At 45.7% G+C, this 22,612-nt stretch overlaps 1 long non-coding RNA gene and 1 pseudogene across 2 annotated transcripts, besides 1 other annotated feature; one reads left to right on the forward strand and one right to left on the reverse strand.

Moving 5' to 3' along the window:
* The first annotated feature begins 8,291 nt into the window (after positions 1–8,291).
* On the forward strand, positions 8,292–11,936 carry LOC112268418 (uncharacterized). The gene is made up of 2 exons (XR_007087079.1): positions 8,292–8,328; positions 9,144–11,936. It is a non-coding gene; the product is annotated as an uncharacterized LOC112268418 (long non-coding RNA).
* Positions 11,937–14,935: 2,999 nt separating this feature from the next.
* NAT8B (N-acetyltransferase 8B (putative, gene/pseudogene)) lies at positions 14,936–16,552 on the reverse strand (annotated as a pseudogene). The gene is made up of 2 exons (NR_132338.2): positions 16,421–16,552; positions 14,936–15,807 (listed from the first exon to the last, which is right to left on the reverse strand). The product of NR_132338.2 is annotated as an N-acetyltransferase 8B (putative, gene/pseudogene) (transcript).
* Positions 16,669–16,963: a silencer, noted in NCBI's record as "tiled region #15607; HepG2 Repressive non-DNase unmatched - State 4:PromP". NCBI's record gives its function as "represses a minimal TATA promoter and a strong SV40 promoter by Sharpr-MPRA in HepG2 cells {active_cell/tissue: HepG2}" and the evidence as "EXISTENCE:reporter gene assay evidence [ECO:0000049][PMID:27701403]".

The raw sequence follows: 22,612 nt of genomic DNA on the forward strand, positions 1-22,612 counted from the left end.
AAATTCTAATTTAACCAGTAAGCAATATGTAAAAGGAAATCTGAATGTCATTACAATTTTACCAGGTTCAGAATAAAATACCATCCTTCAAAATGAACAAATTACTTATTAGCCGAAGAAAGGTGAAAGGAAGTTTGGAATTAACAGTCTAGATTTTCTCACTGATTGGTCCAAGTCACTGACCTCTAAAATTATCTTAGATCATGCCCTCCCTCCTTCCTACTTTCTGGAAAACAATCAGTCTCCTACCCTATGCTTGCCCAAAGAGTTTCCCATACAAATCACAAATCTGCACTTGCCATTCCCTGGAAGCCCTTACATTCCCAAGGCCTGGCCTCATCCACTGCCACTGCCCATGGCCCCAGTCCAGGCAAAGCAATCACTCCCTCTCCCTCTCTGTCATTCCTTTCTTTTCCTTTCACTCTCTTTCTACCCTCCTCTTCCCCACTCTCTGTTTCCTCTCTCTCTCTCTATCTCTCTCTCCCCACCATCTCCTCTCTCTGTCTCCCCCCGCCTTCTCTCTCTGTCTCTGTCTCTCTGTTTCTCTGTGTCTCTCTCTCTGTCTCTCTCTTTGTCTCTCTCTCTGTCTCTCTCTCACACACACACACACACACACACACGCACACACACACACAGCCAGCAACATTCTACCTCTGCCAGAGTTCCAGGTTGAATAGGTGTGGACTTTGACTTTCAGATTCCTCTGGCAAGTGTCAACATCAGTCCTGTTGCTCCCTGGCAGAGGAGGACTTGGAGTCACCTTGGCCAAGAAGCTGTCTGGAGGTCACAGTGGCACCGCCCATCGGCCCCTTGGCTGAGGCTAGATGAGGGCAGATTCAGCACAGCAGCAACTCTCCCCATAAAAAAAATCCCTCAGTGTCTTAGTTCTCTGACCCTTGTACTCCTTGTGAGTTTTAGAGCCACATGAACTCTTCTTTTTTCCCAATGCTTGGAGACAAAATTTACATAACCTACAGTTAGCCATTTTCAAGTGTACAGTTCCCTGCCATTTGGTACATTCACAGTGTTTTGCAAGCAACACCCATATCAAGCCCCAAAACATTTTCATTACCCAGGAAGGAAACCTGTCGTCATGGAACCGTCACTCCTCACATCCCCTTCCCCTCAAACCCTGGCAACCCCAAACCGTTCTTGACAGCCTCCTTTGGCATTTCTTCATTTTGGTGTCAGATCTCACAGCAGAATTTCTTACCTATTATATCCAGTGCCTCAGTGCGAAGTTCCAGTTTAACTTCCTGTTACCTCGAGCCCACTATCTTGCCCCAATAATACCCTCCCCCAATTCACAAACACAGACGCATTCCCTCCTACAGCTTTGGGCCTCCTATCTGAGTCCTTCAGGAAAGAAGAGCTTGTAACTCCCTTAGCAGTGAGTGTAGACTTGGTCCAAGGAAGATGAGCACCAGTCAGGGCAGCTGGCCCCTCCTCTCTCCCTGGTCTTCAGCAAATCAGCACTGCCCATCGATGCCCAGGCAATGGGAGCGTCGACCAGCAGAGGACACACCTGAATTTCTCTGCCTCATGGGAGGGCGGCCACTGTGTTGCATTTAGGAAGAAGCTGTGCAAGATTCATACTGTTTTGCTAATGTTAATCTTGTGGGCATAATAAACGTCGTACCCACACTTAACTTTCGAGATCAGACAAGATTGGGTGTGTTCAGGGTGGTATGGCCGTAGACCCCACACTTATTTTTAACACACTTCTAGGCAAGGCTGCTGCACTGGTCTGGGGATCACACTTTGAGTAGCAAAGGACTAAATTGCAATAACTGCCGGGGGGGGAGAAAAAAAAACAGGATGAACTGCTTCCTCCTGGCTCAGCAGCTAGGGAGTCACTGAACTAACAAGGGGATGGGGTGGGGATAAGAATGTTCCAGGCAAAAGGAACAACATGCCCAAAGGCCTCAAGCAGAAAGAGAGCTTCAGGTATTGAAGAAGTAGAAGTAGCTCTGTGTGGCTGGGGAGTGGGCATAAGATGGAGCAGAAGAATGCCAAGTCCTATTCCTGGGTCTGAATTTCCAGGAGCAGAAGCCCTGTCCCCTCTAGAAGGTGGATATAGTCTGGATATTTGTCTTCTTCAAATCTCATGTTGAAATGTGACCCCCAGTGTTGGAGGTTGGACCTAGTAGGAGGTGTTTAGGTCATAAGAAGTGGATCCCTCCCGAATGGTTTGGTGCCCTCCTCATGACTGAGTTGTTACTCTATTAGTTCGTGTGAGAGCTGGTTGTTTAAAAAAGCCTGGCATCTCTCTGGTTCCCTCTCTTGCCATGTGACACAACTGCTCCCCCTTCACCCTTCCCCATGAGTAAAAGCTTCCTGAGGCCCTCACCAGAGGCATATGCCAGCCCTGTGATTCTTGTACAGCCTGAAAAACTGTGAGTCAAATAAACATCTTTTCATTATAAATTACCTAGTCTCAGATATTTCTTTATAGCAACGCAAAATAGACTATCACAGAAAGTCGGTACCGAGGAGTAGGGCGTTGCTATAAAGATATCTGAAAATGTGGAAGTGGCTTTGGAACTGGGTATGAGGCAGCGGTTGGAAGAGTCTGGAGGGCCCAGAAGACAGAAAGATGAGAAAAGGTTTGGACCTTCTTAGAGATTTGTAATGTCGTTGTAACCAAAATGTGGACAGAAATATGTACAGTAAAGGCCAGCCTGATGAGGTCTCAGATGGAAATGAGGAAGTTATGGGGAACTGGAGCAAAGGTCACCCTTGTTAAGCCCTAGCAAAGAACTTGGCTGCATTGTATCTATGTCCTAGGGCTTTGTGGAAGGCTGAACTTAAGAGTAATGACTTAGGGTATCTGGTAGAAGAAATGTCTAAGCAGCAAAGCATTCAAGAAATGGCCTGGCTGCTTCTAATAGCCTATGATCAGATATTGGAGCAAAGGACTGACTTAAATTTGGAACTATTAAATCAAACTAAAATCTGGCCTGAGAAAGCCTCCTCACTCCCATACTTGAGTCCTTAAGGATGAACCATAACCTAACTTTGTAGGTAGGCCAACTGAAAACCTAACTTAGAAGGATGCTTCTGTAGCAATAGCTGAGCGTCAGCCAATCGCAGCAGCCATGCTTCAGTGACTCACAGGCAGCCTATTGTTCAAACCATGTTCAAATAAGGCAAACACCATGCTGTAACCAATTTGGCTATTTCTGTACCTCACTTCGGCTTTCTGCGTGTCACTTTACTTTTTCTATTCATAAGGTTTTTTCCGACCACATAGCATCTCTGGTGTTGCTCTGAATCTGCTGTGATTCTAGGGACTGCCTGATTTGTGAATTGTCTTTTTTTTTTTCTTCAAAATTAAATTCTGTTAAATTTAGTTTGTCTAAGGTTTTTCTTTTACCAGATCTGGTGTTGGAAGTGCAATTTGAAGTAAAACTCTGGTGACCTCCAGGAACACCAGGTGACCAGGCCAGTTGTGCTCACTGATCTCTTGATTGTAACTGGAGGTTGTAGATGCGTTTTCTCTTGGATTCAGAGCTCCACTAATGTGTATTCTAATTGAAGCTCTCCAACTTTACTGGAGCGATATTAAAGTGGACTGGGTTCAGGATCAAATTTGAATCAATAATTAACTGGATTAGGTTCCGTTAGAGCCTCAGACCTATACTAGGCACTTTTTTTTTTTTTTTTTTTTTGATAATGGGTTTGTCTCAATCCAAAGATTCTGGGACTCTACCTTCTGGGACTCCATCTAATTTGATATGTAAAATTATGGACCCAGAATATGTGCATTTTTAGAAAAATAGATTAACCTTACTAGAGAAAAGATGGCCACAATGGGGAAGTTTTAATTTGTATAAAATTGTTTATTTGCATGGCATATTAGAAAAAGGGGGTCAAAACCCCACAAAAACAGTGGGATATAGTCTTTCATTGGTACATGGAAGCCTCTAAAAGACAAAATGAATGAAAACTTGCCTCCTTAAAAGATTCTTCGCAAAAGCAAGTGAACAGCTTAAGTAACAGGCTAAGGACATGATGAAAGAGAACTGTACTCTGACTGAACTAACCCCAACTGATTCTTCTCTTTATGCATCTCTACCTACGTACTCTGAGTCTACTAACCTTTTTACTAAATTGACCTTTCACTCTCAAGATGATGAAAAAAGAGGAATTAGATGTACGCCTCACAAAGGAAGACCTTCTGATTATCCAGGCCTGCCTGCTATAACCACTTTCACTCCATGGTCTAAAACTGAGCTTAGAGCTATTGTAGAAGACTTCCCTGATCTAGGAGAGAATCCTCAAAAATTGACTGAGGAGTGTAGAATCCTCATAGGAGATTATGATCCAGGACTCCCTGACAAAGGTTCATATAAATTTATTCATATGATATGGAGGCCTGGTGAAGCTCAAAAATGGATGGCAGCAGCAGAATGGAACAAACCGGAGGAAGATATTAAAGACTCTGCCCCTACTGCCCGCCCCCACAAAACTTCCTCATGAGAAGGCCCAACAGGAGCTAGAAATATTGCTGCAAATCCCAGCCTGGGCAACATGGCAAAACCCTGTCTATACGAAAAATACAGAAAGTTAGCTGGGCATGATGGCACACGCCTGTAGACCCAGCTACTTATGAGGCTGAAGTGGGAGGATCACCTGAGCCTGGGAGCTTGAGGCTACTGTGAGCCATGACTGTGCCACTGCACTCTAGCCTGGGTAGCAGAGCGAGACCCCATCTCAAAAGAAAAGAAGGAAAAAAAAATTGCTGAAAATCTTTTAAATTCAAGTGCTAAAATTTTTCCGCAAAAGTTGATTGGTACATCATACAATATTGTAAACCAAAAAAAGAATGAACCAGTGTCAGATTACAGAACTTGCTTAGAAATAATGTGAAACATTCTGGGCTCAGAGTACCAGCAAGGAGTATTTCCTGCAGGGACTGAAATGGTATTAACTACTCTATTTATAAAGGGACTTCATCCTGAACTTAGAAATTTAATTAGAAAACATAAACTCGGATGGGAAGTTACAGCCATGACTGAATTGGTGGCTCTAGCTGAACATTTTGAGAGGACTGTAGAGCAAGAAAAAACCCAAAAGGCTAACAAGCTTATGACTGTTCAATTACAACAGTTACAGGGGCCAAGACCAAAGGGATCTTCTCATTCTCATTTTAAATCACAACCAAGAGGTATTAGACCAAGAAATTCTTCACCCTAAGATGTCTGCCTTATTGCAAACAACCAGGACAGTGGAATAGGGATTGTGCCCTTTTATACCAGCCCACCAATGACCCTCCCTTTAGGCCAGCCTGTTTCACCACTAGAGGGAGCACAAGAGACCTTAGCTCTCCTGAAGATAATCAGCATTGAAGCGGCTCTGAGGGATTTCCCAGTATATTGCTCCTCATAACACCCTTAAAAGAATATGGAGAAACAGAGGTTACAATAAATGGGGACTCATGTATAGTCTTGGTGGATACCAGAGCTACCTTATCTGCCACTACCGTAAAACACACTTTCATACGCCAACAGATCCCTCAGAGTTAAAAAGGCTATTTCTGTGGTTGGGGTTTCAAATCAAATTCAAGAGGTTCCCATATCTGAACCCGTCCAATTGACTTTGGGGCACTCTTCAGAAAATCACACTTTTTTACTGTATGATAGTGCTCCAGTAAATTTGCTAGAGGGAGATTTACTTTCAAAGCTGAAAGGGCATAGAAGACTACCTATTGGGTACATTGTACACTGCTTGGGAAATGGGCACACTAAAATCTCAGAACTCACCAGTAAAGAACTTGTCCATGTAACCAAAAACCACCTGTACTCCCAAAACAATTGAAATTGTTTAAATTAAAAAATTTTTAAAAGTGGGGAGGATGTAAAATTTTCCTTAGAAGGAGTAAGAATCAGTTTCCTGATTCTCCTGAACCAGAATTGTTATGCTCTCTATAGGCAGAAATTAATAAGATTGAAACTCAGGCCTGTAATGCCTGATCTTCCAAAAATACATGAATGTTTATGGGTCTCTTCCTCAACTGACACAGGAAGAATTTAAAGTGTGGAACTTATAAAAGTCCAAATAGACCACTCTAAACTTTTGCCTAAATTACCCAATATCCACTAAAACTAGAAGCAATTCAAGGGCTCTCGCCAATTATAGAAGATTTAATTAAACAGGGACTTATAATTCTATGCACCAGCCGTTGTAACACTCCAATCCTACTGGTTAAAAAAAAAATGGATGAGGTTGAAGATTTATTCAAGATTTATGGGCAGTTAACAAAATTGTAGTAGCAAGGTTTCCTATAGTCCCAAATCCTAATACTTTATTATCCAGTATACATGCTGATTCTTAAGTGGTTCACAATATTAGATCTCTGCTCAGCCTCTTTTTGCAATCCAATTCGTAAAGAGAGTCAATGCTTATTTGCCTTCACTTGGAAAAATCAGCAGTACCCCTAGACTGTGATGCCGCAAGGGTTTACCGAAGCCCCTTCGTATTTTTCCCAGGCCTTGCATCAGGACTTAATGACATTATAGTTTCCTTAAAATTCTACTCTCATTCGGTACATAGATGACTTACTATATGCTCTCCCACTAAAGAGTGCTCTGAAATGGACTCAGTTTACCTTTTACAGCAACTCACACATCAAGGTCAGAAAGCTTCAATAGAAAAACTTCAGTTTTCAAGGGGAAAAAGTCCATTATTTGGGACATGACTTGAAGGGATTTCCCTCTCACCTAAAAAGTTAAAAACTATTCAAAATTTTCCTTGGCCTGCAACCAAAAGATAATTAAATAGTTTTCTTGGACTTGCAGGATATGTTTTTAGACTTGCAGGATATAAAATTCCTGGGTTCTGAATTTTTCCTTAATAGCCTCACCATTTCATGAGCTCCCTAAAAAATGCTGTACCAGAGCCTTTATCTTGGGATGATAGTTACGAGCAGGCTTTTAGCTAAATAAAATTGACCTTGTAACAGCCTCCAGCTTTAGGACTTCCAAATTGCACTAAACTGTTTACCTAATTGGCTCATGAAAGTAATAATCAGGCATTTAGGAGTTCTTACCCAGGAACATGGGGAGAAACATAGGCCCATTGCATATTATAGCCTGCAATTAGACCCAGTAGCTAAGGTATATCCTAACTATTTAAAAGCAGTAGCAGCAGCAACCAGGATGAAAGAAGCTTCAGCTGATCTGGTTTTAGGAAATGAATTTAATTTGGAAGTCCCACATGCTAAATTCCACCCAAACCCAGCATTTTTTAGTAAGTAGACTAACATGAAATACTCTGTCTCCTTCTAATCTCTCTCTAAAACACTGCAATTTACTTAACCATGCCACTGTATTACTGCTGCCTGATGATGGTGAAGACCACAATTGCATAAGTGTAGCATCAGAAATAGTGGCCCCTCATGTTAATTTACAAGTTAGTCCTTTGGACAATCCTGAGTTAATACTTTTGTTGATGGGTCCTATGCCAAAAGCTCAGAAGGAAAATATCAGCTAGGATATGCTGTTACCAAAATGAGTTAATAGAGAAGGGACCCCTTCCTCTATTAGTCAGCTCTATTAGTCTAAGCTCTATAAGTCAGCTTAACTCTTGAAGATTTTTGCCCTCACCCAAGCTTGTCGTATAGCTAAAGACAAATCAGTAAGTATTTAGACAGATAGTAGATACGCTTTAGGAGTAGTACATGATTTTGGCATGATAGGGAAACTCTAAGGGTTTCTCACTTCTAGTGGGATCACCATCAAAAATGGACTCCAGTTAGATAAACTCCTAGTTTGCTGTTAGTGATCGAAGCTCATACCTGCAGAACTGAACCTGAATATCAAGGGAATGCTTAGCAGATATTTATGCTAAATCAGCTAGTACTGAAACTGTTCAGATATGCAACCTGAATGAACTTCATAAGATTAATCCAATCCAACTACCTTACAATGACCTATTTAATAAACAGTGCAATGCACCTCATTTGGAAAAACAAAACTGGTATCTAAAAGGATATAAATTCAATGTTAAGTGCAGACTCACAGAGGGCCTAGATGGCTGTCTGGTCTTTCCTGAGTCTTTGAAGCTTCTATTTTCAAAAGCTCTGTACTCCACAACTCATCATGGAACAGAAAAATACGTCCAAATTGTGAAAAAATACTTGTGGGATGATTGTTCCAAAATTGCTAGAATATATATATATATATATATGTATATATATTTTGAGACGGAGTCTCACTCTGTCACCCAGGCTGGAGTGCAAGGGCGCGATCTCAACTCACTGCACACTCCACCTCCCTGGTTCAAGTGATTCTCCTGCATCAGCCTCCCGAGTAGCTGGGACTACAGGTGTGTGCCACCATGCCCGACTAATTTTTTTTTATTTTTAGTAGAGATGGGGTTTCACCATGTTAGCTAGGATAGTCTGGATATCCTGACCTTGTGATCCACCTGCCTCGGCCTCCCAATATGCTAGGCTTACAGGCATTATCCACTGCACCCAGCCTGCTAGAATATTTTATAACCAATGTTGGCTTGTCAAACCCATAGTCCTGGAAAAACAAAAGATTCAGGTGGTGTATTGTATTTTCACCACCTAATGGATCATTTGAACAATTATAGATAGACTTCATTCAGTTGCCACCTTCAATGGGGGTCTCAGTATGTTCTTGTAATAGTTTCCATGTTTTCTGGTTGGGTAGAGGCCTTCCTGTGTAGGAAAGCTGATGCTGTGACAGTAGCTAAGAAATTATTAGAAAATGTGTTTTCTTTATGGAGCATCCCTGGAAAAATCCCCAGCAATAGGGGAATTCATTTTATTAGGCAGGTTATAAAGCAGTTAAACAAGGTGTTATGGACACAATGGCACTACCATTGTCCCTATCGCCCTCAGTCTTCTGAAAAGGTTGAAAGAACAAATGGCATATTAAAACTGAAATTGGCAAAGTTAACTGAATCAGTTGGGTTGCCTTGGCCAAAGGTACTATCATTGGACTTAATGACAATCAGATCCACTCTCACTAAAAAACAGAAGTGGATCCCTTATGAAATAGTCACTAGAAGGCCTATGCCCCAATAGTGAAACCTCATGCATCTTTCTGTCTCCTAAATTCTGATATGAGTAAGTACTGCAAGGCCATTATACCAAAGTGTACTTTCACCAGATAAAGGAAGCTTTTCAAGATCCACCAACTGAGGATAATCAAACCTTCCACAGTCTAGAACCTGGAGATTGTGTCTTCTGGAAATGACATCAGAGAAAGGCTGCTCTTGACAACTCTTTGGAAGGGACCGTGCTGAGATCTTCTCAACACCTACACTGCAGTGAAGCTTCAGGGCCTTGAAACTTGGGTCCACACCTCACAACTCAGAAGGGCCTCTTCAGACTCCTGGAACTGTACACCTGCTGGAGACTTTAAGGTAAAGCTGTCTAAGGAAATATCTCTCCAGAGCAGCGGGCATTCTAGCTGTGGACAGCTTTCCCAAGATCACAGATCAAGACTTCTGTATCATCATGAAAGCCTTACATTTTTTCTTTTCTCCGCATTTCCTGTTGCCCTAATTCTTTCTTTTTCCCTACAGAAAAATCCATGGGACGATAATCAGTGGATGGCTTTAGCTTGAGCATATGCTCTAGCACAGAACCAGAGTTTGTGGCTTATTGGGTTTGTTTTTATTGCCAAAAAAATAAGGAAACAATTCCGCTAATGCCAATGCCTCTCCATGTTGCCAATGAGAGTCACCCCAAAATTCCAAGGGAAGGATAGAAAGCTATCCTTGATATTCTGAACACCATTGCTACTTGTTTTCCTGCACTCACTAAAAGCAACACTTTAACTTTTCCTTTTTTTTTTTTTTTCTGAGGCAGTCTCACTCTGTTGCCTAGGTTGGAGTGCAGTGGCCTTATCTTGGCTCACTACAGCCTCCACCTCCAAGGTTCAAGCAATTCTCCTGCCTCAGCCACCCAAGTAGCTGGGACTCTAGGCATGCACCACCGCATCCAGCTGATTTTTGAATTTTTAGTAGAGACTAGATTTTGCTATGTTGGCCAGGCTGGTCTCGAACCTCCTTGCCTCAAGTGATCCACCAGCCTCGGTCTCCCAAAGTTCTGGGATTACAGGCGTGAGCCACCATGCCTGGCCTTAACTGTTTCAATTAATAACCTGATCAATACCAAAATATAGAAAACCAGTCCAAGTGATGCCTGCAAAAGATATATTGTGCTTTCAGGCATCATGCACTCAAGTTACGGGAATTACCTATGTGAGTACAAGTAATTGCTTGTATAATATCACCAGATTAAATTCAACAGGGTCTCTTTTTACTAAATGTGTTATACACCCTTACAACATACTACAGGGCGAGCACAAAAAGGTCAATTTCCCAGTGGATTTTGTTCAGGAGCTGTGTAGGTTTATTAATGAACAAATCTAACTGACCCCTGCTCAAATGCAACTATGTGGCCCTGTTTTTCAACTCCCAAGGGCCTATACTGGGTCTGTGGATAATCTGCGCATTTCATTCTGCCTCCTCGTTGACTCAGACCTTGCTGTTTGGTCTGGCTCACTTCTGCCTTTCAAATAGTTTCACCTAAAAATTCTCCTAACAGCTCTTATGATTGGAGGCCAAAATAGACAATAACTGAAATTAGCACTAGCTTTGAAATAGACAAAGATAAGCTAGTTTCCACTGAGGAAAGATTCCAGTGGGGTTCCTGGGGACTCACTCTTGGTGGTGGTGGGATACTAGTTGTATGGAATCTGAAGCTAATCCATATTTGGGGTCTTGGATTTTATAGCCAATCAGACATCCCAATGTTCCAGACAGGTAGAAGCTACTCTCCAAAAGGTAGATGTGGCCTGGTGCAGTGGCTCATGCCTGTAATTCCAGCACTTTGGGAGGCTAAGGCAGGTGGATCACCTGAGGTCAAGAGTTCGAGACCAGCCTGCCCACCATGGTGAAACCCCATCTCTCCTAAGTACAAAAAATTAGCCAGGCATGGTGGCGTGTGCCTGTAGTCCCAGCTACTTGGGAGACTGAGGCAGGAGAATTGCTTGAACCCAGAAGACAGAGGTTGCAGTGAGCTGAGATCACCCCACTACACTCTAGCCTGGTTAACAGAGCGAGACCCTTTCTCACAAAAAAATAAATAAATAAATAAATAAATAAATAAATAAATAAATAAAATAAACGAGGTAGATGTTACAGTTAATGGAACATCATGCAGCTTCATATCTCCTTTTTACTCAAGCTGGGGCCTATGTTTGGTATTGAACAAAATGGAATGCTGCAATTTTCTCTCTACTGATTTTGTTACTACAGAAAGCTTAATGTAAAGGTGGCTGATACTGCTGTTTCCTTAGACACTGACACCAAATACAATAAAGAAGTCTCTCAAGAGGAAAACATGGTGTGTTTACAGGAGCAACTAACAGTTGGTTTGTAGGCATCCTAAATGGTGGATGGCAAGCTTGGGTTTCCCAAAGGTTTCTAGTCTTTATATGTCTTCTAGTAGGTGTCCAGGTTAGTATGGCCTGTGTTACCAGAGTAACAATGAAAATGGCTACGTCTTTAAATCAGGCCACTTTACAGTGAACTATGGTCCTTAATTGCTATCACATTTCAAACAAGAACTATGACCAATTAAACTTTACTATTGTTGAACTGCCTATGTTGCCTGAACTTTGACTGGTTTAAGTTGGTTTCATTTATTTCATAAGAACTCTTGTTAAGGGGTGCACCTTGGTATTTTGATATTATTCTCTTGATAGTCATAATAATAGTTCCCTGGTGTGCTGCATCCTCTCAAGTCATAAATGTTTTGTATGCAGCCATACATTGAGAATTGAATGGTCTCACTTCAACTAGGTCAGCAAGAACATAAAGAATCATTTACCTAGTGTGAAGTTGTGACTTGTGAACTTCATAGTGACACCAATAAAGACTTGTGAACTCCATACTGAGACTAAAAGGACTTGTGAATTCCATACTGAGCCAATTTACAATAGTGGGAGAGTGGCATCAATGCCTAAACTTTTGATCAATCTCTCTAAATTGAGAGTCTGACAAAGAGAGGGGAGTTGATAAATGAAACTCAAATCCGGCCTGAGGAAGCCTTCATATTGCCATGCTTGAGTTCTTAAGGGTGAACCGTAATGTAACTAGTAGGCAGGCAGACTGAAAACCTAACTTAGGAGGATGCTTCTTTAGCAATAGCTGAGTCTCAGCCAATCCCATTGGCCATACTTCAACCACTCACAGGCAGCCGACTGTTGGAATCATGCCCAGATAAGGCAAACACCAAGCTGTAACCAATCTGGCTGTTTCTGTACCTCACTTCCATTTTCTGTATGTCACTTTCCTTTTTCTGTCCACAAATTTGCTTTGACAACACAGCATCCCTGGTGTCTGTCTGTATCTGCTGTAATTCTGAGGGCTGCCCAACTTGCAAAATATTTATTTTTCTTGCTCAATTACTCTGTGAAATTTAATTTGTCTAATGGATTTCTTTTAACAGAACTTATAATTAAAATGGAGAGCGGGTGTAAATATTTATAAAACTTGCAGCCTGGCCATGTGGTAGACAAGGAGGAATCCAAGCAGCCTGCTGAGCAACTACTTGCTGGAGACATTAGCATGTCTAAAAGGGAGCCAGGTGCTAATATTCAAGACAGTGGGAAAAGGCCTCAGAGGCATTTCAGAAGGCCCCTCCTATCACAGGCCCACAGGCCTAGGAGGACTGAATGGTTTCAGAGACCAGGCCCAGGACACCATTGCCCTATGTCACCTCAGGATGCTACTTCCCACATCCCAGCTTCTCCAGCTCCAGCCTTGGCTCAAAGGGCCCCAGGTGAAGCGCAGACCACTGCTTTGGAGGGTACAAGCCCTAAGCCTTAGCAGCTTCCATATGTTTTTTTTTTTGTCTTTTTTTTTTGAGACAGAGTCTTGTCCTGTCAACCAGGCTGGAATGCAACAGCACGATCTCAGCTCACTGCAACCTCTGCCTCAAAGGTTCAAGTGATTCTCCTGCCTCAGTATCCCAAGTATCTGGGATTGCAGGCATGTGCCATCATGCCCAGCTAATTTTGTATTTTCAGTAGATACGGGGTTTCACAATGTTGGTCAGGCTGGTCTCCAACTCCTGACCTCAGGTGATCCACCTGCCTCAGCCTCCCAAAGTGCTGGAATTACATGTGTGAGCCACCATGCCCAGCCTTCCATATGGTTTTAGGTCTGCAGGCTTGCAGAATGCAAGAGTGAAGGAGGCTTGGGAGCTTCCACCTAAATTTCTGAAGATGTATCAAAAAGCCTGGGTGCCCAGGCAGAAGCCTGCACAGGGCGGAGACCCCACAGAGAACCTCTACTAGGGCAGAGCCATGGGAAAACATAGGGTTGGAACCCCCATACAGGGTCCTCACTGGGACATTGCCTAGTGGAGCTGTGGGAATGGGGCCAATGCCTTCCAGACACCAGAAAGGTAGAGTCGCCAGCAGCTTGCAACCTCAGCATGGAAGACCCACAGGCTCAATCCCAACCTGTGAGAGCAGCCATGTGGGCTGCACCCAGCAAAGCCATAGAGACAGGGCTGCTCAAGGCCTTGAAAGCCCACTCCTCTCACCAGTATGGAGTTAAGGAAGATGATTTTGGAAGTTTCAGATTTAGTGTTTGCCCTGCTGGGTTTCAGACATGTGTGGGGCCTGTTGCCTCTTTCTTTTGGCCAATTTCTCGCTTTTGGAATGGGAATGCCTACCCAATACCTGTAACACAGTTGTATCTTGGAAGTATGTAACTTGTTTTTGATATAACAGCCTCATGGGTGGAAGGCATTTGCCTTGAGGCTCAGATGAAACTATGGATTCTGGACTTTTGAGTTGATGCTGGAACAAGCTGAGACATTGGGAAACTATCAGGAAGGGATGGTTGCATTTTGCAATGTGAGATGACATGAGATTTTGGGGTAAGAGGCAGACTGATATAGTTTAGATGTTTGTTCTCTCCAAATCACATGTTGAAATATGACCCCCAATGTTAGAGGTAGGGCCTAGTGGGAGGTGTTTCGCTCATAGGGGTGGATTCCTCATGAATGGGTTGGTGCTCTGTCCATGGTAATGAATGAGTTCTGGCCCTGTTAGTTCACATGTAAGCTGGTTGTTTGAAAGCACCTAGCATCTTTCTTGTGTGCTGTCTCGCCGTGTGACACACCTGCTCCCCCTTCAGCTTCCACCATAAGTGAAAGATTCCTGAGGCCCTCACCAGAAGCAGATGCCTGCACTGTGCTTTTTGTACAGCCTGCAAAACCATGAACCAAATACACCTCTTTTCCTTATAAATTACCCAGTCTCAGGTATTCTGTTATGATCCCCTGGAAGAGTTATACTACTTCCAGGTCTAGACCATGGTAAATCCCACACTCCCCTCTGAGGCCACCTTCTTCCCTCTGCAGAGACCCTGTGGTTAGAGTGGATTGGTTGTGTCTCTGGCCCCAATTCTTCTCCCGAGGCTGCATTCCACCCTTTTGCTATGTGACTTTGCAGCCCTTCATGATCATTACAGAGGCAGGTTCCTCTCTCCTTGAATTTGGGGAAGATGCGACGCATGCAGGAGTTTGAAAACACGTTTGTTTGCTTCTGCTTTTGTTTTTGCTCCTCTGCAATTTCCTTGAAACCATGCCTGAGCTAGCCTGAGGGAAAATGAAAAAGCACCATTGAGCTAATCTTTCAGCCAATCCCACTGCATTTGCACAATGCAGTCTGAGACCAGAGGAACTGCCCAGCCAAGCTCAGGCAAAATTGCTGACTTCAGACTCATGAGCTAAATAAATATTGATTTCATTTTATGATTGTTCTTATGCAACATTATCCTGGCACTAGAAAAATGAAACAGATGGGAATCAAAAAGACTGAATGAAGCAGAAACCCAGAAGCTACCCCACAGGCAATCGCATGGGACTCAGATGTTAATGGACAATAAGCTTTTATTGCACAGAAAGGTCATTGCAGTCAGAGGTTGGGGATTGCTTGCTGCTACAGCCGAATGGATTCTATTCTGACCAATACAGAAGGAAAGAAATCATAGACGCCCTGCCTGAGCAGAAGGGAGGTGATAGATGAAATGAACTGTATGAAGATCCACCAGCCTGGCCCACACGTGGAAGAAGGACTGGCCCGTCTTCTTGAAGCCCAAGCTCTGGTAGAGGCCCATGGCAGAGAGCTGGATGTTGCTGGTGTCCAGGACAACTTCACTGTAGCCCTAGTCCCGGGCAAACTGGAGGACAGTCCTGACCAGGGCTTTTGCTATCCCCTGACCACGGTGCTCATTGTCCACAGAGAGATGAAACAGCTGCAACCGCTTCTCCCTCAAGGTGGGATCATCAACGGGCAGAGCTCCTACTGTGCCCACCACCTTCTCTTCAGATTCACCCACCCAGAAGCAGGAGCCACACTCACTCAGGTAGGATTTGGTGATGTCAGACATGTCTGTGCGCAATGCTATGTCTACATACCGCGTCCAGGGTTTTTTGGCAAGGAACCACAGGGCAGGAAGGAGGCTGAGGCTGAACACGAGGGCCAGAATCCAGGAGCCAGAGACCAGGAGTAGGGCAAGGGCCCCCCCAAGTAAGAGTATGAGGGTTCGAGGCAGCTTCAGTAATCGCCGGAAGGTGGCTGGGGCGTGTTCGGCCATCCCCCGGGAGAGCAAGCCCACGACCTACTTGCGGTCGCTCTCCTGGTATTTGCGGATGTGATAAGGAGCCATGGACAGACTTCTGTGTCTGAAGTCACTGAGTCCAGGAAACAGAGCTAGGCCTCCCTGCACGCCTTTACGCCAGGCCTGGGGAAGAGAGAGGAAACCACGTGAGTGCCTGCATGGCTCCCAGCCTTGCAGGAACAGGGAGACCTGCTTAAGGGTGTGTCTTTCCGCGTTTGCCCATGAGGAAGCAGGCCTCTGCCACTGGGAGAAGGTAGCATGAGAAAGACCTGCATTGGAATCTGGCTCCATGCCTTTCTAGCTGTGTGACCTTGGGCATGTCACTTAACCTCTCTGAGCCTCCACTTCTTCATCTATAGAACAGGGGAGAAGAAAACCTGCCTTCTAGAGTTGTTTCGAAGATTGAATAAAATACCTTCTATAAAGCCCTGATAGATGAACTACCCACCACTCTTCCCTCTGTTTCCTTTTTCTGGCTCTCTCAGCTTCTTGGTGCATTGAGAGAGTACCTACCTCAGGCAGGCCACATGCCCAACCCTTTGGTGCTTCTCCAGGGACCATACATCGCAGAAATCCTGTGACCAAGCACAAGTTTCAGGAAAGGCTCCCTCCAGCTTTATTGTAAGTTTTTAGGTTGCTGAGGTGGCATAAGTGCCAAGCATAAAAAACAGCCCAGCCTCCAGATCCCAAGGAAGGTGCATGCTCAGAGCACTGTCCTTCCACCCAGTCCCCTCACCTGTCACCACAAGAGCCTTGAGTGTCCAGGGAGCTTCAGCTGTCAGCCGCTCACTGGCATCCAGGAGATACCGTCTGGGGCTTGCTCACCCCTGGAAAGCAGGCTGCCTGCCTCATTGCTTGGCTCCTGAATGTTTGGTAATCATCAACCCTAGGGTCAAAGAGCTGGGCTGTAACACAGCAGGGAGCCCAGTGTGCATTCCCCTTTATAGTCAAAGGGAATGGCCTGGAGGGGGAAACTCAGGGTCTGGAACCGCCTGGGTTCCTTGCCCTTCTGGAAGGCCTGCCACCTCTCTTGCCTGTTCAGGCCCTGGGCATCTTTCTGCCACCTGGCACACTTGATACTCTCTGAGATCCACCTTGGTCCCTGTACACATATACCACGAGCCTGAGAACTGTGCCATTCACCCTGCACTCAGTCACCATTGGCCAGAAGCCGAGTCCCCACACTTGGCAACAAGGCCCTTCCCAGCTAGGCTTCTCCATGCTGAGGTTTCCCTGGTCCACAAAGCATCGATTGTTGGCAGTTCTTTGCACTCACCTCACCAACCCCCACCTCCACCCATTCATTGATTCAGTCAACAGGTGTGTGCGATGCACTTCCCATGTCTGGGGGTCATTTCAGCCATGAGCAAGGTTGACATTCGGCTGACAGGCATGGCTGTGTGTGGCTTGTGTGTGTTCTGGCTGTTGGTCAGAGGCTGTGCCACACCCGTTGTTAAATATTTTGCACTGCAGATGTTGGAGAGGCCCAAATTCAAGCTCTTGTACCCGACGTGGAGCTGATCCCAAACACTGACACATGGGTGCTTGGAGATAGAGAAAGTTGTATTCGATTTGGCCAAAGCAAGAAGGCAGGAGAGGAAGATCTCTCAACTTCAGTTCAACAAAGAAGCAGCAGCAGAATGTTTTTATGCAGCTAGAGAGTGAGGAAGGGGGAGTTCAGGGGGATTGAGAGGAAAAGTCTGTGTTTCCTCAGTCTGAGATAACACCTTGTGCAACCAGGCTTCTCAGTGTCAGCAGCTGGTCACAGTGTCCTTCAAGGCATTCATTCCTTCTGCAAACTTTTCCTGACCCTGAAGGAATGTCTTCCTGCTGAACAAAGAAACAGTGCATGAGCAGTTTATCATTATGTTGTGGGAACAAGGAATATTGGACCAAAAGCAAGTGGTTAACATGTGCAAGCCAGCAACGGTCTGATCAGAATGTTCATTATTTCAGTCACTAAAACATGGTATGGTGCTGAAATCTCAAGGGGCCCAATTACAAGGATGCAACATATACAAGATAGGCAAAAGCAAAACCTAACAGAAAAAGCCCTTTTCCACACCAACTTACATGCTATTGAAGGGAAACTTCCCTAAAAGATTAGCCAACCCATTGTTGATCAGCCACGCTGGGCCCGTCATCTAGGTTAGGTAGTTTGGACTCTATTCCAAGAGCAAGGGGAGGACATTGATATGCACAGAGGGGAGAAGGGGTGTGTGTGTGTGTGTGTGTGTGTGTGTGTGTGTGTGTGTGTGTGTGTGTGTGCGCGCTTCACTCTGGCTGCAGGTGGACAATGGATCTGAGGAGGTGGGAATGGAAGCAGCTACCCCTTAAGGCTAGTGCCGCATCCAGGCAACAGCAGGGCCCCCAGTGCAGGGATGCAGGTGCTCACTGTACAAGAGCAGCTGGCCCAGAGGGGCTGGTAGGAGCTAAAATCGGGCCTCCCGTTGCCAAGCCATGAGCCATGGCACGAAACTGAGACTGGCCAAAGGAAAAGGCAACCTTTTCTTATTTGCTCGAAGGCATTGCTTGCCTGCTAAACTCTGCATCCAGTGGACTGCATGGCTTGAGGCTGTGCCTAGCTCTGTGTTCACAAAGAAGCCGCCTGGGCTAGCAGAGGCCCATGAGACAGCAGTGGCTTCAACAGAGGGAGGAAGTCAAGAATGTGAGACATGAGCCACATGGAGGTGCACTTGGGGCAGAAATGGCAGGAGTTGGAATGATTCACACAGGGAGGAGGATGAGGAAGGGCTCAGAGATGACAGCCAGGCTTCTGGTAGGGGCATTCAGGAAAACACTGGAGAGAGCCCAGATCTGGAAAAGTCAAGGCTTCCCCTAAAGGTGCTGCCCTGCAGCCTTCCTCAGCAGAAACCAGAGGCTGGGAGTCAGCAGCAGGAACCCAGGGCCAGCCAGTGGAGGCTGCTGAGATTCCAGATCTTTGGTACCCAACACCACCTCCGAGGAAAAGTCTAAGGAGCATCAAGTCTGGGCAGGAAGTCCATGGCTTATCTTTAGAGTGTTCTCAGAACAGTTCAGTGTCAAGCAGGAGTTGGCCTAGGAATTACAAGAGGTGAGCAGCTGCTTCAAAGCACCACTGAGTACTTCTAGTGTGAGTCTGACCAATATTCAGAGTCAGAAACCTGCCGGTCACTTGGAGGGGGAGAGGTTTGTGCTCCGTCCCTGTGTGCTGTCTCTTCCTCCATGCTCACCCGTGGCTGTGGCTTCCTCAAAACACAGCGACCTCACTTGACATTCAGGCATCTCTTGCTCCCAGGATCTACTGTGACTTCTGCATTTTTGTAGCTTTCCTGATAAAAGCCTGGGCTTTCCTTGTCAGACCTGAAAGATTCATTTATTCATTCAACAAACAGTTCCCGAGGACCTGAGGTGTGCCGGGCCTGGACTTGGCATGAAGGCACCAGATGTTGGAAGCGAGGCTGCCGCCCAGGAGGACACACCTGATGGGGCTCTGGGAACAGGATGATGGTGGAGACATCACATCCGGAATAACTTTGTTAGGAGGGTTGAACTTGACAGTTAGGACTTTTATGTTGCACTTGTTGAAAAGCCACCTAAAATTGTCATAAGTAAGAGAGGTGATCTAATGGCCCATGAAACTGCCAACTCCAGGAAGACAGACAGGGTGACCTGAAAGTGGGTTTGACCTGTTGGTTTTTCTGCCATTCTGTGGGTGGCATCAGCTTCCTGCCAAGACTGGCACTGCATAGGATGTCGGGTGTTTGCCAGCCCAGTTGAAGCTGTCTGCTTCCTTGCTCACCAACAGCAGAAAGGTGGGGGCTATTCCCCACATTCCAGGTGACAGAGAAGGTTTACATGGGGACTCAGTCACACTTTCTGGGGACTGTACATTTCATAGCAGAATCCAGGTTATATTAAAGGAGTCCTGGCCGAAGGATGCCAGCACCCCATAGAGATGGAGAGCCCCAGGGAGCTCAAGGGCTGAGGGGCTGAGGGGCTGAGTGACAGTGAGCACTGCCCACAGAGGGGGTGCCCTGCAGTCAGGAGGGGTGGGAAACGGGTGCAGATCGGCAGCCAACAGAGGCCCACCCACATGAGCACAGGTGGAGTTGCTGGTGCGATGAAGAGTGTGCTGGTTGGGAGTGGAGGGCTGGGGGCCGGTAGCCGGTTTGGGAAACCCAAGCTGAGCGAAAGGTGTGCCAAGGCCTGTGGTGGTGCCTGTTAACAGAAAAATCAAACTGTTAGATGATCTGAAAGAGGTATCTTCTGAGCCAATATGAGTGACCACGGTCTGGGGATCTCAAGAGGTCCTGAAAACGTGTGCTGGGGCCGTCGTTTTCTACATTTGAGGGGACAGGAATTGGAGTAACATCATAAATTAATCCATGGAAGGTGTACATTGACTGGGCCTAACAAGGTGGGATATTGTGAAGCAGCAGGGGGCATTATAGATCACAGGTGGATTCAAAGATTTTCCGATTGGCAATTGGTTGAAAGAGTTCAGCTTTGTCTAAAGACCGTGAAGTTGGTACAAAAGAATGCTTCAGTTCAGAGAGAGGGGTCTGCCTCTGCCACGTGATGCTGTCCCAGAGTCAGGTAGGAAAGTCAGCCACAGTATCCTGGGTCAATTTAAACCCCACTGAAGGAGACTCTGTGGTTTCTAGGGTGTGTGTTAATTCTTGCCTTGCAAGGCCTTAAGTCTTGTTCATAATCTGTTACTGATTGTCACAGAGTCCATTCTGAATAATCTAATGATGCCTATTTTAACATTCATGCCAGTCAAGTGATTCTCCTGCCTCACCCTCCCAAGTAGCTGGGACTACAGGTACACGCCGCCATGCCCGGCTAATTTTTGTATTTTTAGTAGATACAGGGTTTCACCATGTTTGTTAGGCTGGTCTCGAACTCCTGACCTCGTGATCTGCCTGCCTCGGCCTCCTAAAGTGCTGGGATTACAGGCAGGAGTCAGCACGCCAGGCCCAGAGTTTTCTAAATGAGACTTGGTGTAGCCAGTGAGCTTCTGTTGCCTGCTGTGACATGGGTGCTATTGTTCCCATTAAAAACTCAGACCTCTGCCTCGGGAGACAGGGCTCAGCTGCAGCCTACTCAACTAAAACATGAAGCGCTGCTTCGTGGGCACCACAGCGGCTCCTTAAACTTGCAATGGTGTGCAAATTTGTGGGCTCACTTTCTACATCCGATCTTCAAAGGTGTCTGCGATCCCAGAAGGTTGGGAACTATTAAATTTGATCATTTCTGAAATGTCTTCCAGTTTAAAAGTCTTCAGTTCCAGTTCATTTTCAATTCCTGAATAAAGGGATGAGTCTTGGAGCTTCTGGAAGCTGGCCTGGAACTGAGCACTTACTGCAGACAGTGCCTGAAGTGCAAACCCAAAGGTGCGTAGATCTGGGCTGCATGTGAAAGCTTTCATATTCAGGTCTTACTTTGCGACAGTGAGGGGTGACCAGGGAAGCCTATATGAGGGGCGGGGGCAAACCAAGGCAGCCTGGGAGCTGCCTTAACCACCTCTCACCTCACTTCCTCAGAGATAAGGTTTTCTTGAAGGGAACGTGCAGATTTATACAAAATACTAACAAGCTGAGATTTTAATTTTTTAAGCAATAAGGAAAAACAGAACTTTTCACTCCAAAGACCCTGTGTTAGGCTCGGCAGAACTGGTGGCACATCTCAGGAGTCATGGGGCAATGCTCTCAGAAACAATGTTAGGGAAAAAAAAAAAAAAACGAAAAACAATGAAGAGGCTTAATTCTTCTTGTTAAAGGAAGAGGTATCCTCTGTCCCTTTTCTTAGAGCATTTTGTTTGGAAAACTTGTCATTTTAAATCCTTCCTCTGCCCCTTTGAGGGGCATGCAAAGCTTTTTGACAGCTAAATAAGCCTCTTGCCAGCTTTGCAACCCAGGACTGTGTTCCTGAAGGACCTGGGATCCCAATCTTTGAAACGTTATCATCAGAGCAGCCAGGTCCCTATCTCCCAGTCTCCATGGGAGGGCAGGAACCTAACTTTTGCCCTGTGTGATAAATCTACCTCCTATCATAAAGATAAGGGTTGTTTTTCCTTTGTATGAAGTCAAATAGCAGACGCAGGTTGTCGAGTGAATTGAGGTTGAATCTCTGTAAACTCGGTGTGACCAAAAGTGCTGTGCAGGCCCCCTGACCTGAGGACTAGGCATGGCTTCTCTTGAGAACGTGTGCAATGGTTTGGACCCACTGGCTAGATTAGCGGTGAGATTTCTGTCTGTCTTTGCAGCTTCTTAGCGGATCATTGCCCGTGATGCGCATCTCACTCTGGGTTAATCCTTTTTCAAGGATAAAAGTGTTTTTCTTTCTCTTCTTCCTCTGCAGAGAGGCTTGCTGGGATGGGAGAAGATTTTATTTGTAATTCCATTTCTCCACGACCAGAGGATGGGCTCTGGGGGTCAGGCAGCTGGGAAGGAGTTTAGAACCCATGCCTAGGCCTTCCCCAAGGCTCATGCACTCAGTTCCCTCAGTTCAGCAGTAGCAGAAACACTATCTGGAAGACCCCATACTGTCTGGAAAGAGGAACTCATTTTCTTTCATTGCTGACACTCCTGGATGACTGTGTGTGGCGGTTACCCATACCCTAGTCCCACCCTGTGCCCCCTCTCCACCTCAGGGGGCCCCAAGAGCCCTGGCCCTGCTAGTCCAGAGCACCCCCAAGGGAGACTGGGGTTGGGGGTCCCACCAGGGTGCCAGGTGTTGGTCAAGGTGAATGTGAACTAGGAGGAAGGAGATGGAGCCCTCTCCTGGGAACCGGACAGGGACAGGGATGGGGTGGGGGTGCCCAGGAAGCCATGGCTCTGGGCTGGGGCCGCCAACCTGCCCAGGCAACTGGGGCTGACTCCTTGAAGTTGCATTTCTGACTCCCCCTCCCACGTGCAGGCTCTTGGCCCACTGGAGGCCCACT

The sequence above is a fragment of the Homo sapiens genome, chromosome 2 (assembly GCF_000001405.40).
Source record: "Homo sapiens chromosome 2, GRCh38.p14 Primary Assembly".
Taxonomy (NCBI): Eukaryota; Metazoa; Chordata; class Mammalia; order Primates; family Hominidae; genus Homo; species Homo sapiens.